The sequence below is a fragment of the Homo sapiens genome, chromosome 3, assembly GCF_000001405.40.
Source record: "Homo sapiens chromosome 3, GRCh38.p14 Primary Assembly".
NCBI classification, from domain to species: domain Eukaryota; kingdom Metazoa; phylum Chordata; class Mammalia; order Primates; family Hominidae; genus Homo; species Homo sapiens.
The window spans coordinates 83970313-83987744 of record NC_000003.12 but is presented as its reverse complement, the minus strand read 5'-3'; the positions used below and the strand labels follow the sequence as shown (position 1 = coordinate 83987744).

Genomic DNA, 17432 nt, shown 5'->3' with positions numbered 1-17432 from the left:
GGTTTCTTAAGAAACGAAAATACCCATATCATATGACCCACACTTATACTTCCAGGTATTTTACCCAAGAGGAATAAAAATATATTTATGCAAAAGACTTGTATAAATTTCCATGACAATTTTTTTCTACTAACCCCAAACTGAAATAACTCAGCTGTTGAGGAATGGATGAATAAAGAAATTGTGTAGTAATTATAAAATGTAATATAACTTAGAAAGAGTAAGAAATGAAATAGTGATACATACAATATGATGAATCTTAAAATAATCATGTTCAGATGGGAACAAAGCAAGCACAAAGAAATACATACTGTGTGATCCAATTAACATGAATTTCTAGAACAGATAAAACTAAGCTGTGCTGATAGAAATTAGGATAGTGATTTAACTGTAATGAAGAGTTTACTGAAAAGGAGCAGGACAGAACTTATTGGAATGAGAGAAATGTTCTATATCTTCATTGAAATGAAGTTTACATTGATAGACACATTAGTTAAAATTCATCACCCTTCTTTCCTTTCCCTTCCTTCCTTCCTTCCCTCCTTCCTTCCTTCCCTCCTTCCTTCCTTCATTCCCTCCTTCCTTCCTTCCTTCCTTTGTAATTAGTCAAATAACCATTAAGCAGAAATAAGTGAGGCGTCGGTCCAGCAAGTTTCGGGAATTAGATACAGGGGGATTAAATAAATACATTGAGGAAAACTGGAGCCAAATTTCACACCTGGAGAAAAATATTCAAATATGAAAAGGGCACATGCAAGAAAATAAATCCTGCAGTAATAGATTGAATTTGGAAGTATAAATGTGAACTAATAGATTAAAAAACCTAATTGCAGATGTAGAAGTCTGTGTATGTGTGTTTGTGTAGGTGTACCCATGTATATGCATATGCATGCATATATTTTCTAAGTTTATCCACCGACAGGGCCTGGGACTAGCAAATTCCCTGTAGAAATAAGAATACCAAGAACTCAGAACTCAGTCTATAAATATTCTCTTCTAAGTGGAACCACTATTCCTTGAAAAAGGTGATCTTAGGACTGGAGCAGGGAAAGAACTAGATAAGAGTGGAATATTTTGCCATAAAAGAAAGCAAGGAAATGCTCAAAGAATTAATGGCATATTTTCAGGACATGGAAACCAGTTTGAAGAGGCTATACTGATTACTGGATGAACTGAAAAATTAGAGTGTCAAAATAAATAATGATCATGAGTACAGTGTGTGTACAAGCACTCCCCCGACATACATACACACCTTTATATTACATTGAATAAAATGAGAAGCCACAAGAACACCCCAGTATAAACGAATGAAAGGATGGGAGGAGAAAAATTGCATTACAGTAGTATGCCTAAAATAAACATAGAAAAAATATAAAATTAGAAAATCACCCCTGAGAAGCATCATTACAATAATTACATTCAGGTAAGTAATATCAATTGATGCTGAAAGGTTACTAGAACCTGAGTATGAAATAGGATATCTACTGAGTCTCCATGTGTCTCCTCCAGACTGCTTACTTATTTACAAAGAAAAAGAAGTAATTTTACAGAAAAGAATCCTTGCTGTTGTCACTTCAAGTAATTAAATCAAACATCACAAATAATGAGAAAAATTGACATCGCATGGCAACTATTAGGATTCAATGACACAAATACAGCAGTTTTCCTGTGATATTTATGCCCCAAAGGCATAATCTAAATCTAATCATGAAGAAGTATCAAATAAATCCAAATTAAAAGATAATCTAATATACAACTTTTCTGTTATCTTCAAAAATGTATAGGACATTAAGGTCAAGAGAGACTGAAGAATTTTTCTGGATTAAATGATATCTAAGTGCAACAGATGATCTTGGGTTAGACATTTTTGAAGTAAAATACATTATTGGTATAGTTTTCAAAACCTGAATGGATTATCTGTATGAAGGATATATGAAATTTTTTAACTTTTCTTAATTTTTTACTGTAACTTTGAAATGAATTCAAAATAATTAGAAAAAAACAGAAAGCAAGACCATATTGGACTGTGTTTCTTGCTTACAATTATGTTTTAGTATATGCCTTATTGTAAATTATACCACATTATTATATAAAATGAAAAGGCAGAGTAGCGGAGATCTTGAAATTAAAAACTCAAAGTGAACAAAAAAATCACTGAAATAAATGTCAAATGCCCAATAAAAAGTGAAAAGAGGCTGGGCGCCATGACTCACTCCTTTAATCCCAGCACTTTGGGAGGCCGAGGTGGGCAGATCACTAGGTCAAGGGATCGAAACCATCCTGGCCAAGATAGTGAAACCCCATCTCTACTAAAAATACAAAATTAACTGGGCATGGTGGCAGGCACCTGTAGTCACAGCTACTCGGGAGGCTGAGGCAGGAGAATCGCTTGAACCTCGGAGGTGGAGGTTGCAGTGAGCCAAGATCACGCCACTGCACTCCAGTCTGACTACAGAGTGAGACACTGTCTCAAAAAAAAAAAAGTAAAAACATATTGAACTTTACTTGTGCTTAAAACAGTGTGTGTTAACATTTACTTGATTGACAAATATCTTCAAATTTGATAATGTATCAAAAATTTTTGAAAATATCAAAATATGTATATTGCACCATACATATATATATATATATATGAGCCAGAAAAAGAAAAAAAAATTCCTAGCTCTATTCAGATGTTGCTAGTTTTTTCCACCAATTAACTTATATACCAATTAATTTAATATAAATATATATATATATATATGTTATATTGGTAGGTTTGATTTTTTCATCAGTTAAGATTTGGTGTACTTTACTTGAGTTCACTCATTCTTTTCCAAACTACTACTTGTTGCTATTGAAAGATGTAATTACTAACCTAGAAAGCATATCAAATGATTTTGAATCATTATATATTTTTCTAAGGGCTTAAGCTATTTCCATCCAGTTTACAAAGCCAATGCTCAAGTTCAGGTGTGGATATTTCTCATGTATGCACAACCACTTTAACTCTCACTAGATTCCAAGGCTCACACAATTTTCAATTTCTTACTGATGTGTTGGGTGTCTGGGGGAATTCACATGGTTTTCATGCAGCAGCTCAGGACCCCAAGCAAAGTCACAGGACATCAATCATCCTTTTCTGCTGGATAGGTACCAAGAAAACCACCAGCTGCTGATTTGTTAAAATTTAAAAACAGACAAGAACACCCTTAGGAGACAAAGGATAAGGTAGACTCATGAGAAGGCTGAGCAGCCTGTAGTAATCAGTTTAGTTCCCAGAGGTTTCAGCTTTCTCTGATGTTATTATTACCTGTTGCCCATCACTGATACCTCACCTGACTCTGTTCTCTCTGAGTCTTTTGCTTTACCCACATTCTTCTTTCTCACCTTCTCCCCATAAAAACCTATTCTGTCTTCTGTGAATATTTTCAGCTGTGTGTATGGTTAGAATGTAGGTCTTGTTGTTTTAGTGCACACAGTTTGAATTTATTATCATAAGATTAAGGCATATATTTCACTCTATTGCTTCTATTTTGTTTCCTCAGTGCTAGGGTTTTAACATAAATCTATGTTATTATGTGTATAACTAGCTAGTTGCTTCTGATACATACTATTTCATGGCATGCCTTGACCACATTTAAATTATTCATTCTTCTAAGGATAGACAAAAGTTGTATAAGTCCTTGTACATACTTTCAATGGACTTATATGAAAATATCTTGGGCTCATTTACTCAAAATTTAATTCCTGTATTAATAGTTATGTAGATTTATTTAACCACGTGGAATCAACTGCTCTTAAGAATAGCTACACCAGCAGGCCACCAGCGACTCTGCATCCCCATAACTCACAGAACTGGAATTGTTCTATTGATAAAAGTTAATGGGATATCTAAGTATTCTCACTCTCCTTTATCTTATTCCTAATACATTACAAAATATCTTCATATATTTCTTAGCTTATGAGCTTTCTCTTCTGTACATTGCCTATTTGTCTCCTTGGTTCATTTTCCTGTTTGGAGTGCTATCAATTGATTTATAGTCATTAGTATATTTTAGTAAAATCTCTACGTGCTAAATGTTAATCCTTATCAGTTTTATGCACTTTCTCCCTTTATCTTTTTGTCCTAATATCTTGATTGAATGCCATCACTCTCTCATCTTTTTGTTTGCTTTGTTTCATGGCTAGTGCTTTCAAAATATTGTTTAAGACATGCTTCATTGTTTCTTAGTAAAAATGATAGTTAACTTTTTTTGTTTGTTGAATTTATGGGATTATTTTTCATTAAGGTTTTAAGCCATCTGGAGTCCACCTTTCTATGTGGAGTTAGGTAGAGATCCAAGTTTATTTTTCTCCATTTAATGAGCGAATTTTCTCAACCTTATCTAATAAACAATCTGCTCTTTCTGCATGCATTTGTGATACCACCTTTATCATGCATTACATTTTTATATATCCGTGATCATGACTATGAGAAACATTTGGAGTTGGCAGTTGGTAAACTTAGTGATCTTGGGGGCGGGGTGAAAAATCAATGACTATGAATGACTGGTCAAGCCACAATAGTTTCCATCAATTTCACGCATGCATAGAGTGTAGGTTTGGTCCTGATATTTTTTCTATTGCCTCTAATTGCTAAGATACAGTCAGTGAATAAGAAAGCAATGGTACTAAAACTATTTCTTCAAAAGTAGTCTCTCTCTTCTTCAAATCAAGTTTTGTAGACACCAGACCACTACATACACTGTTCCTAGAAAGGCTTCAGTTTCCCTAGAGCTTTCTCAAGGTGGTTGCATTTGTTGTTGCTGTTAGTTATTAGACTGTGCCTTTCCCATTAGCTAGTGTAGTTTCTCCATGCTTACTTGTCTCAGCAGATTGAGCTTTCTGTTGATTTGGTATGAGCTGGAAATTCCTCAATGACCTCTTCGTATGCCTCATATTCCTTGACTTCTCCCAAACCATTCTCTCATGCCCTCTTTTGCTCTACATCCAAAGAGTTTCTCTTCTTAATTTATAGGAAACTATCTCTTGCCAACCTTATTATTTTGTAGGGCTGGGCTTTTGGAAACAATTTTGTACTAGAATCATTCTTTGAGATAAAAAAAAATCACAGAACTTGCCTACCTGATCAAATGGGAAATAAGAAAATAGAAAGCATGGAAAAAATAACATTAAAAAAGGCGCTTTCTACGCATATAATAATGGAAATTAAGAAAAGTTCATGCATCACACCAAAAAAGTAACATTTGATAACCTCCAATTCATGTATTTATGTAATTCTATGTAATTTACAAAATGCTGTTAAATACATTGACTCATGGAAGGTTGGCTAGTAGAGTCTATCCACCTCACTAGTGTGGATATGTATTTAGTCCAGTCTATCTCACAATGTAGGGTCAGTTGTTTTGATTCTCCAGCTTTTCACACACAGCAAGTTTTCTTTATTATCAGCAATTTTCAACTCATCACATATGCATGTACTGCTTAAAAATATTTTCATGTTAACTAATAAAAGTGCTTGGCTCTCCCTTATCACATCATTTTACTTAGCTACCAATTATTACACCCTGAGGAAGAAAAACTAATTTTATTATTAGCTGAGATACAACATAACTAGAAAGTTAAACTTACTGCAGAAAATCATCTCATATATATTCCTTTAAAATTAACTGTACTTTTAGATTATTCATGCCTCTGTTTCTCTTCAATAACATGGTTAAGTGAAAGTTGATGAAATTGCTAAATTGAGTACTTCAGAGCAGGAAACTGAAATCTTTCCAGGAAGTTAACACTTTTCTTGATTGAAGATCAAATCATTTATTTTAAGGATAGTCTCTTCACAGTATCACCCCAGAACATTTGAACTGGGGGTTTCAAAATCAAGGTTTGAAGTTTCTCATCTTGCCAACTCCCACCTCGGAGCTAGGGTCAAATATATTGAAGTTATGAAACAATATAGTCTAAACTAAGGCCAAAGGATAAAAAAAAGTAGAAAGTCAACTACTTTTAAAATTGCATTTTAAAATTGCATTTTAAAAAATGCAATTTTATTTTATTTTCCTACTTTCAGACTTTTAAACTTTAATGAGAGTGATGTCTCCTGAAATCTTTGTATTTTGTTACATAATTGTCTTTTTTAATGTCATCTAATTCCCTGTTTATATGATAGTTATTTGATGATTTTGATGTAATTACATAACAATTTTTTAAAATGCCATTTGAGTACATAGAAATGACTGATTTATTGATTGACAGGAAAAATTGAGGACTTGGTTTTTATGCTGTATAGACAGTCAGATTATAGTTTTCTGTATTGGTTAATTTTGAAATACGCTCAAGTAGATCATACATTCTGCCCTCTTTAGTTTTTTCAACATTTTAGTTTACAAAGAATTTCAATAACCTAAATCATTATTGTATTCCATAGTTTTTTGGGTAATAATACTCAAATGCAAATCCCCTTTTGGTAGTTTCCTAAAGAAGTCCCTCTGATAATACATCTCCCTGTGGGGAGATTTCCTTAACACTTTAAGGGGTTGACTTATGGCAAATTCTGGAGGACACTTTTCCAGAAATTTCTTCAGGCAGCAGCCCTGTGAATTTGCCACTCAATGGCCAAGGCTGTGCTTCCTCAACAAGGTCTGGATCTTGTCCTGGAGTATCCTCTTCCATGGGTGTTCTATCTCAGCTCTAAGGGTAGTAGCTGCACATCAATATGCTATTCCTGTGTTCTTTAGAGTTCTCTTTACTTCTCAGTAGCCAATTCCTCATTACTCTAATCCCTTCCTATAGTCAATAGTTCTTTATGTTAAACTCTTCAAATTACTGTGTGGTTTCTACCTCATAGAGGTTGGATCCTGACTAACATGCACGGAGATGGTGCCAGAGTGAGGCTGAGCAAGATTACCACTACCTGTTTAATGCTCACAAATAGAGAGATTGACCTTAAAAGTAATAAATGCTAATAGAGGCTATTCTCATAGAAACTATAATCATTAAGGAAGAATGATGGTACTTAAAAAGGAGAGGGAAGAAGACAGGGGCCAATACCCTCAATTAATGTGACGGAATAAACAGATGGTCAGAAAATGACAATGATGATCAAAACACAGGGAAACTCATAGGGATGAAGACTAGTCATTTACGTTAAATAATAGTCTTTTCATAATCTTACTTCAGAATATTTAAACGTGATATCAAGCACCCAAAGAACATGCAGATTTTATGAGTGTGAAACTTAAACTTTGAAACTAAAACTAAAGAGTTGAGAAAAAGACGTTTACTAATTTCCCCTTTTTTACACTCTTGTTATATGCAATTAAGCGAATATGAGATTTTCCCCTAAAGATAATTTCAGGGAAACTGGTCTTATAGATGAATAGCCCAAATTCATTTACTAGTTTATATTTTTTCTACTCTAAAAGAGTGCTCTATTTTAAATTATTATTTGTTTAGTAAAATATTTCAGCTAACATTTTTTAGGTCTACAATAGCTACACATTTTTGGATAATGTCCAATAACTTTGGATATGGAATTAGAACAGATGGCTATATAAACACAATAATAAATTCCTAGCTACCTAGGCACAACCACTAATAAATTTAGCATATATTAATATAATTAATTTTTAGATTTTAATTGAGCATAGTCATGGACAATATTTTGATCACTTAAAATTACATAGTTAATTACAAATGCACAGTACTAGCTGGTATAGCTTTTACATATTATCAAACTTGTATTTAACTGCCAAGCAATTATAAGAGATAGAATGTGAATAGAAGATCTATAAAGTGCCAGATCACAATAAGAAGTAGTTTCTTCAGTGTATTCTGAAATTAAACAAATATCCTGGCTAATACTTAATATTAATTGATTTTTAAAGTCATATGATTTATAAAGCAAATCAAAATCTATGAACAATTAAAAATTACTATTCCAAATATTTTTATTGTCATAAAAGTAAAAAGCTCTTTCTTTAAAAAAGTTATTCTTTTCAAAATCTTTGAATAATCTCCAAAATGAAGATTTTTATAAGATTTGAGGATAACTTAATAAAAAATATTTTTTATTTTATTCCTGCTCCTTTAAACATATACCTTATTGAAATAACCTGACATACTATTTTATTTTGAATCATTTTCTGATAATTAAAAATGTGTTCAATAATTTAATAAGCCATAGTGTTATTAATTTTGGTACTAGAAAATATAGTTTTATTTTATAAAACAAATCGATTTAAAGATTTTTTGTTATTCAGTCCTAGCCTTGTACTTTAATTTTTTCTAATTCCTCTTTAAGGGTGATATTTGACCCACACCTGTGGAAAACCTAATTTTAGCCTCTAGCTTTATTTTTCACCTTTGGAGATATTCTGGAATTTAATAGCAAGGCACCCTTGTTACTGGACTAACTGAAGTAGAATCCTGATCTTGATCAATATTCTTTTTTCCAATATGAACATTTTGGCAATTATTTTTAAGTAGATTGACTTCTACCTTGTGTTTTTATACACATGAACATGCTTTTTCTCAAAAAAACTTTCCTTTTGCTAACCTCCTCCTGTCTGCTCAGGTGATTCAAACACCATACTGTGCCATTTTCTAAAGTCCCAATGGTTACTGCTTTTCTTTGTCAGCTACGTGATACATTGAGTTACTGCCCATATACCATTCTCAGCCCAATGGATGGGACTCCCTCCAACTCATAAAAAGAACTTTCTCAGAACTCACCTATCATGAAGTCCCAAACTGCATTCATTCTTGTATGGTGTTTCAACAATTAGTCTCTCTACTTCAGAAGATGTAATTTCTGTTTTAAAATATAGTTTTGACATTTCCCAGTAAGATAGTGTGCACTAAAAGAGGTGCATGTATCATCTGTGTATTTGTAAATAATTGAACGATTCATAAATATGCACTACTCTGGAAATTAGATGAGAACTAGACGAAGGGGTAAAAAATAAATATAAGAGGCTTGTGAAGATTTAATGGATAAGGAGAAATATGAGTTAGAGTTTTCTGTAGGCAAAGTCAAGGGAATATGAAACTGTATAATATATTATTATCATTATATTATTTAAATAGATGTTTCTTTTCAGAAAGAAGATTAGAACTTAACAGAGAAACCTTTTTGATTTTTGATCCTTTAATGGAGAATTTTCATTTCCATAATCAAGCAGATAATGAGATATCCAATTTGGTGTATAGAGTTTACTGGGCATGAACTAAGACTTTCAGATACCTGTGTATCTTGAAACATTTAGGCTACTGACTATATTATACAAGAATGATGGAAAAATAATTTAAAATATTTTATATATTTTAGTGTTTCAAAATTATTGCATACAATTCTTTGTAACAAAGAAGTAAGGGTATTTGCATGTTTTTCAACTTTCCTTTTGGATTCTCCTAGTCACATATGTTCTATCAGCAAAACCACTGAGGTAGGCAAAATTCAGAACTGGCTCCCAAGATTCCTATGTTTTGGTTTACACCCCCTGGATTATCCCCTCCCTTTGAATGTAGGCAGAATTAAAGGGATTTCATAGATATAGTTAAGATCCCAAATTAGTTGACTTTGAGATAATAAAAAAAGGAGTTTATCTTGGGTAGAACTGATCCAATCAGGTGAGCCTTTAAAAGAAACTGGAGGCCAGGTGTGGTAGCTCACACCTGTAATCCCAGTACTTTAGGAAGTCGAGGCAGGCGGATAACTTGAGGCCAGGATTTTAGGCCCAGAGTGGCCAACATGGTGAAACACCATTTCTGCTAAAAATATAAAAAATTTCGCTGGGCCTCATGGTGCATGCCTGTAATCCCAGGTACTTGGGAGAAGGAGAATTGCTTGAACCTGGGAGACGGAGGTTACAGGGAGTTAAGAACCCACCACTGTACTCCAGCCTGAGTGACAGAGGGAGACCCTGTCTCAAAAATAAAATAAAATAAAAATAAATAATAAATAAATACAGAAGTAAATAAAAGGAATTAGACCTTTACTAAGGGAAGATATTTAAAGTGTGAGAGAAGCTATGGGAATGGGGGTCATGTGGCAAGAACCAGAGTGTGATACCTGGAAACTGAAAGCAGTCTCTTGCTCACGACTATGAAAAAAAACAATGGGTGTGTTCTTACTCCTATGAGGGAGCTAAAAATTTGATCTCATGGACATAGAGAATAGAACAATGGATGGCAGAGACTGGGTAGGAGAGGAGTGGTGGATGAAGATAGGTTGATGATATGGTTTGGCTCTGTGTCCCCACCCAAATCTCATCTTGTAGCCCTCATAATTCTCCCAGTAAGATGATTGAATTATGGGGGCGGGTCTTTCCCATGCTTTTCTCGTGATAGTGAATTGGTCTCACGAGATCTGAAGGTTTTAAAAATGGGAGTTTCCTTGCACATGCTCTTTTTTTGCCTGCTGCAATCCATTAAGGATATGACTTGCTCCTCCTTGCCTCCCGCCATGATTGTGAGGCCTCCCCAGTCATGTGGAACTATAAGTCCAATAAACTTCTTTCTTTTGTAAATTTTCCTATCTCAGGTATGTCTTTATCAGCAGTCGGAAAATGGACTAATACAGTTAGTTATGAGTAAAACACAGTCAGATAGAAGAAATACATTCCAATGTTTGATAGTGGACTAAGATGACTTAGCAATAACATTATGTATATTTCAAAGTAACTAGAATGGGAAACTTGAAATGATACCAGCACATAAAAGTGGTAAACATTAAAGGTGAAGGGTAGTTCGTTTACCCTGACTTAATCATTACACATTCTTAACATGTAACAAACACTCACATGTACCCCACAGATATGTATGTTATCACATATTCTTAAAATAAAATTTTTAAAAATTAAATTAAATTAAAAGGAAATGAGAATATCAGTCACATAACAGCAAGGAAACAATTCCTTCCGACAACCTGAGAAAGTTTGGAAGCAGGTTTTTCTCTAGTCAAGCCTCAAATTGAGAACTTACCCAGTCAACACTTAATTTCAGCCTTGTCGGATCCTGAACAGAGGACCCAGTTCAAATTTGTCAGGCTCCTGACCCATGGCAAATCTTAGCTGATAAGTACTATATATCCTGTGGCTTTGTGTTGATTTCAAATCATGGATATGTTTGGGCTAAACAAGTTTTGTATTATTTTTGGTTCTGGTTATGGTAAGTCACAGAACTATGCTAGTAAACAGACTAATTCCTAAATAATCCTAACCAAAAATCTCAATGCATTTTTCTGTGTATTGGCAGAAATTAATATTTCACAAATACCTAAGAATTAATTGATTTAGTAAGCAGAAAAATTTTTAAGTAGTTGATATTTCCTATAGCTATTTTTATTTAATGCGTTTTATACTACTTTCTCTGCTTAACTGTTAGGAAAACATTAACTCACAAATGTTAATAAGCAAATAAAATGGTGGATATAGTTTTAATGTGAAAGAAAAATAACTAGACACAGTTTCAAGGAGTAGATATATCACAAGATTATAATTGAAATAATTCTAAATACAGTCTAGATGCTTTATCATTTGCTTACTTACTTTAATATTTATTCACATCTTAGTGGATAACTTTAGTATTAAATCTTACATACTTATGAAGATAAGTAGTACTAAGCCTATTATGAAACATTATCTTTACTGAGATTACAAGCTATCCTATATTCGGTTTACTCTTCTCTTTTCACTAACTTCATATATAAGGTTGGAGTCATATAAATTAAAAGGAAATCACGAAATACAATTCCTGATAGATTAGTTAATATGTTAATGTGAAACAATATCATACAGCGTTTTTTGAGTAATAGTACTGATAATAAACAAAACCAACATAAAATCGTATATTAGAACTTTCAAAAGAAAAACAATGCAATTTTTTCTAAAATCAAGTACTGCTAAAGTTCAAAAAACTAAGTTACATACAATAATCTTACCAACATAACAAATGCCATTAGTAAATTAATTGTCACAAAGTCATAAAATTTCATCTAATTACTTATGCCTTAAGTATCTGTAAATGTGACATAATACTAGAATGACTTGTATATACATAATTTACTAACTCTTCAAGGTAGCCAGTAAACTGTCAAGGAAAAAAGAATAACAATCCAAAGTAAGAAGATATTAAGAGATATAATTACACCTAATCCTTACTATAATGGAAATCACTATTCTCTATAATCCTGAGGAAGCATACCAAAAGGACTCTTTATTAATAATTTAATAAATAAATATTGCTCCTGAAAATACCACCAGTCTGGGGGTACAATAGGACAACTAAATAATAATAGGTCATGTTTTCTATGGTTCTGCTCTTACCACTTATTATCATTGGGTTTTCTCCAAGTCTCTTGCTTAATAAAGTTTAAAAACTCTGGAAAGGGATTAAAGCCTTTTATTTTTCCAGTTTCTGTAGTTTTCTCTGTCTTCCTTGTATCTGTGGTACTGATTGAATTATCTAAATTATCTGTGTGCATAGAGACTGTATTGCCTTACAATGAGTCCATGAAGCACAATCCTATGTTCTGCTTCCTCTAAGTCATGCATTCTGAGATGCAATGTTTACTCCCTACTTTGTATTCCCTATTAGTCCTGCACTAAAGCCAATGACCCATTTACCCAGATGTTAGTTCTATTGTATAACCAAAATTGTGCAAGTCTTATAGGAATATAGGAGAGGCTGTTGTACAAACAAGGATCATTGGCATTGAAGTGGTGATGAAATTGAAAGGGTGTTAGATGTTATACCAGTCAGGTTTCTCTAATTGTAAATAATAGAAAACAAATTCAAGTAGCTGAAGTTGTAAGAAAGAGGAAGCAGAGAGATAATCCTTCCAGCAAATCAGCACTAAATTGGCATAGCTTAGGGAAAGATTATAGTATTTTACTTGCCCTTTTTATATTCTGTGTTTATCTTGATGACTGAGGGCAGGAGATGATAATTGGTGAGACAGGTAATAATATGTATAACTTTCACTGAAACCATATTGTTTGAAGAAGCATTTTCAGGGAAGAGAACATTGAACTTAATTGTTAAGTAGGGAGAAAGGAAACAACTAAACAAATGTGTGAGCAAAATGTATGAACAAATAATGATAAAGAATAGCAGGGACAATATAATAAGTAAAATCAAATGATGCAATAGGTCACTCTAGGTTTATTAGATACAATTACAAAAAATACAGTATTTATTTATAGTCTGGAAAGTTTAAATAACTAAAATATTGCTCTCTTAAGACAGAAAGAAATTATGAAACACCAATCTAATAATATTAATAATCACATTTGAAATATCTTCTATATTTATTGTTCTATTTAAGTATCCTACTTCTCCTTTTGTATGTTTTGATACCTTATTTTTTAGAAATAAAAAAATCCTTAAATTTTGTTTTTAAACTTGTCACCAGCAGTAGGCATCTTTCTAAACTGAATTCCAGTGATCCTTGCCTCTTTCTGATATTCATGCTCTGGTATAATCACATGCCCTTGAGTGTGACCAACACCTAATACATTGCTAAAAACAGCGGAAAAAGACAAAAGTGATTAGATGTCACTTCTGAGATTTATAAAAAAGACTATGTGCCGGGCATAGTAGCTCATGCCTGTAATCCCAGCACTTTGGGGAATAAAGGCAGGGGGATCACTTGAGCCCAGGAGTTTGAGACCAGCCTGGGCAACATCGCGAGACTCTGTCTCTACCAAAAATAAATAAATAAATAAAAAATTAACCAAGTGTGGTGGTGTGTGCCTATAGTACTAGATACCCTGGAGCCTGAGGCAGGAAGATTACTTGAGCCTGGGAGGTGGAGGTTGCAGTGAGCCATGATGGAGCCACTGCACTCCAGCCTGGGAGACAGGGCGAGACCCTATATCAAAAAAAAAAAAAAAAAAAAAAGGCTATTCTCGGTCTTGTTCCCACTCTCTTTCTAACTCTCCTTGCTTGCTTGTTGCTCATTCTAATGAAGAAAACATCCATGTTGTAAGGTACCCCATGGAGAATCTGATGGCGAAGGAAACAGAGTAAGGCCACTGCATGACAATCAACAAGAAGCTGAGGCAGTAGTCTAACCTAGGAAGAAGGTATTTTTTTTTATTATTATTATACTTTAAGTTTTAGGGTACATGTGCACAATGTGTAGGTTAGTTACATATGTATACATGTACCATGCTGGTGTGCTGCACCCATTAACTCGTCATTTAGCATTAGGTATATCTCTTAATGCTATGCCTCCCCCCTCCCCCCTCCTCCCACCCCACAACAGTCCCCAGAGTGTGATGTTCCCCTTCCTGTGTCCATGTGTTCTCATTGTTCAATTCCCACCTATGAGTGAGAACATGCAGTGCTTGGTTTTTTGTCCTTGCAATAGTTTACTGAGAATGATGATTTCCAATTTCATCCATATCCCTACAAAGGACATGAACTCATCATTTTTTATGGCTGCATAGTATTCCATGGTGTATATGTGCCACATTTTCTTAATCCAGTCTATCATTGTTGGATATTTGGATTGGTTCCAAGTGTTTGCTATTGTGAATAGTGCTGCAATAAGCATAAGTGTGCATGTGTCTTTATAGCAGCATGATTTATAGTCCTTTGGGTATATACCCAGTAATGGGATGGCTGGGTCAAATGGTATTTCTAGTTCTAGATCCCTGAGGAATCACCACACTGACTTCCACAATGGTTGAACTAGTTTACAGTCCCACCAACAGTGTCAAAGTGTTCCTATTTCTCCACATCCTCTCCAGCACCTGTTGTTTCCTGACTTTTTAATGATTGCCATTCTAACTGGTGTGAGATGGTATCTCATAGTGGTTTTTATTTGCATTTCTCTGATGGCCAGTGATGGTGAGCATTTTTTGGAAGAAAGGTATCTTAACAGCAAGTGATGAGCATTGATGAAAATCCTCCCTCACTTGAGGCTTGATATGATTTCAGTCCTAGTTGACACCTTCATCACAGCTCTGAGAAAGAAAGGCCCTGAGCCAAGGGAGACGGCTGAGTCACACCTGGATTTCTGAGGAACAGAAACTGATATAGTGAAAATGTTGCTGATTTAAGTCACTAAGTTTTAGGGTAATTAGATACACAATAAATAACTATCACCATAGGGTTGTACCTAGCAAACTTCTGTTGTTTCAAACTCTACTTATTGAGTGGTCTTATTCTCCTCTAACTACTAACGTGTATATTTCATCTCTCCTCTTTTCTGTTCAGTAAGATTCAGAGATGGTTTTTGTTTGTTTGTTTTTTGTCATTGTTGTTTGCTTGTTTTTCCTGTACATTGTTTCTTACTCTATCTTTTTTAACACATTCAAAGAACCAGATTTTGGATTTGTCTGTCTTTATATAATTTAGTTATAATATTACCTATGGATTTAGTATATCTTCTAAAAGTTTAAGGCATACAATAAAGTTTCACTTCTTGGAAATTTCAAGATTTCCTTGTGACAAAGTTCATATCCCATTTTTGTGTTTTTTTCCCTGGACACAGATAAAAAAAGGCACATCTTTTAAGTCTTTAACGAAAAAATTCTTATACATCTTCTAAACTGGTTTTTACTTAAATTGTTCTATATTCCCCCTATCTATTGTTACCAGTGGAGGGTGTCCAGGTTTTTGGCATCTTGGACAAAGAATTGGACAAAATGCACAAACAAAGCAAGGAAAGAATGAGGCAACGAAAGCAGAGATTTATGGAAAGTGAAGGTACGCTCCACAGGGTGGGAGTGGGCTCAAGCATAGAGCTGAGTTACAGAATTTTCTGGGGTTTAAATTATTGAAAGTGAAAGTACCCTCCACAGGGTGGGAGTGGGCTCAAGCATAGAGTTGAGTTACAGAATTTTCTGGGGTTTAAATTACTGAAAGTGAAAGTACACTCTACAGGGTGGGAGTGGCTCCAGCATAGAGCTGAGTTACAGAATTTTCTGGGGTTTAAATTTCCTCTGGAGATTTCCACTGGTTTCTTGTTGTAAGCCCTATGTCAATGAAGAGCATAAAGTAAAGTTACAAAGTCATTTCCTAGGTGTATGCCCTATGTAAATGAAGGGGATATTTCTTGTCATGACTGAAGTGTTTCCATTTGATTTAGTTTTAAGAAGTACTTAGGGTTCCCTGCCTCCAGGCCCTGTTCTCCTGCCTCATTCCCCACGTGAAAGGCGTGATCCCCATACATCTATATGGGAGGCGGAGAGACCAATGGTCTTTCTTCTGTAATTGCTTTATGCTGGCTTGGGGCATGGTCCCTATCTGTTGAGGATCACAGAACTCTCACCCTTCTCTGTCTAGTGGAGACAGGGTAGTTCCTTGATGGCTAGGAGTGGTGTCTTCACCTGGAACTGGCTGGAACCCTTGTCACATGAGCATCTGAAGCTTGATGGTCTCTAGGCCAGAGGAAGTGAATTTAGTTAAAAGACTTAATGGGAACTTCAGGGAGTGGATGCCTATGTTGTCAGGAATGTTTGTTACAGAGATTTGCAGGAGAAAAACAAAACATGGTCTGTTCTAGAATGTATCTGTTTCCTTATAGTCTTAACACAAGCAACTCCATTTTGGTTTGGTTTGATCTGTTGGGGCTGAGTGCATGAACTCAATCAAAACAAATGACTTCCCACAATTTTGTTTTAAAAACTTCCCTCCTTTTTGGTCAAGTTCTCACTTAGGTGAGAGTGTGACCAAAACTTAGGGCCTTAGCACCACTCAGTTACCATCATTTTGGGTTTCTGGTCTCAACACATTATTCATAGTTTATGGTTTCCTCATGGTCACATGTTTCTTTAAGCTCTTGTCATTCCAGTTGAAGAGAGACCATTTGACATTCTAGAGATGGCTGCATGCAAGCATTTAAAACCTTTCAGAAAATACAGCACAACAGGACAACTATTATTATAACCATCGGGAGGATAATACTAAGAGTTTGGAGTATGCTTCTTTCCCCGGGTCCCCATAAACCAAACCACCTAAAATCAAATAGATCAAAGAATGAGCTAGATAGTGAGCCTACTCACTTAATTAAGCAATCTCTGTTAATCCCCTGCCAATGAATCTCTGTAATCTTCATTTAATGTGTTTCTCCATAAGCCACAAATGCCAGCAGCCGCACAGATACTCCTCTGTTCAGCCAATTCTACCTTAACTTTCACAAGAGAATTCAAAGTCTGTTGTGTAACTATAGTTCTTACAGTAGATGTTCTCAGAAGATCCAGTCTTTTGGTTCTAGATTGCGAAGGGGTTGATTGTCCTTAGTGAACCATAAAAAGCTTTCTTTACCTGGTGAAAATACAAGGTAGCATAATAATCTATTGTTATCCTACTCAATCTATCATGGAGGCTACAGTGTTCCCCAGGGCCCCCCAAAACCCACATAATAAATATTTTGTTCCTGTTACACAATGCAATATCCTTAAGTTCACTAATATCACCATACATCCTGTGCAATCAGG

General features: G+C 34.6%; 1 long non-coding RNA gene across 7 annotated transcripts in view; it reads right to left on the bottom strand.

Moving 5' to 3' along the window:
* LOC105377188 (uncharacterized) overlaps positions 1–17432 on the bottom strand; it is a 98853-nt gene that overhangs the window by 64758 nt on the left and 16663 nt on the right. Inside the window, exons 3-4 of one of the 7 annotated variants that reach the window (XR_007096266.1) lie at positions 17172–17259; positions 16265–16373 (exon numbers count right to left, since the gene is read on the bottom strand). The exons of 2 other annotated variants lie outside the window; for them this stretch is intronic. This is a non-coding gene — a long non-coding RNA (uncharacterized LOC105377188). Of the gene's footprint in view, positions 1–1252; positions 1350–16264; positions 17260–17432 lie in introns of all 7 variants that reach the window. 4 more of the 7 variants (XR_001740800.2, XR_007096263.1, XR_001740799.2 and 1 more) reach the window with 4 other exon arrangements.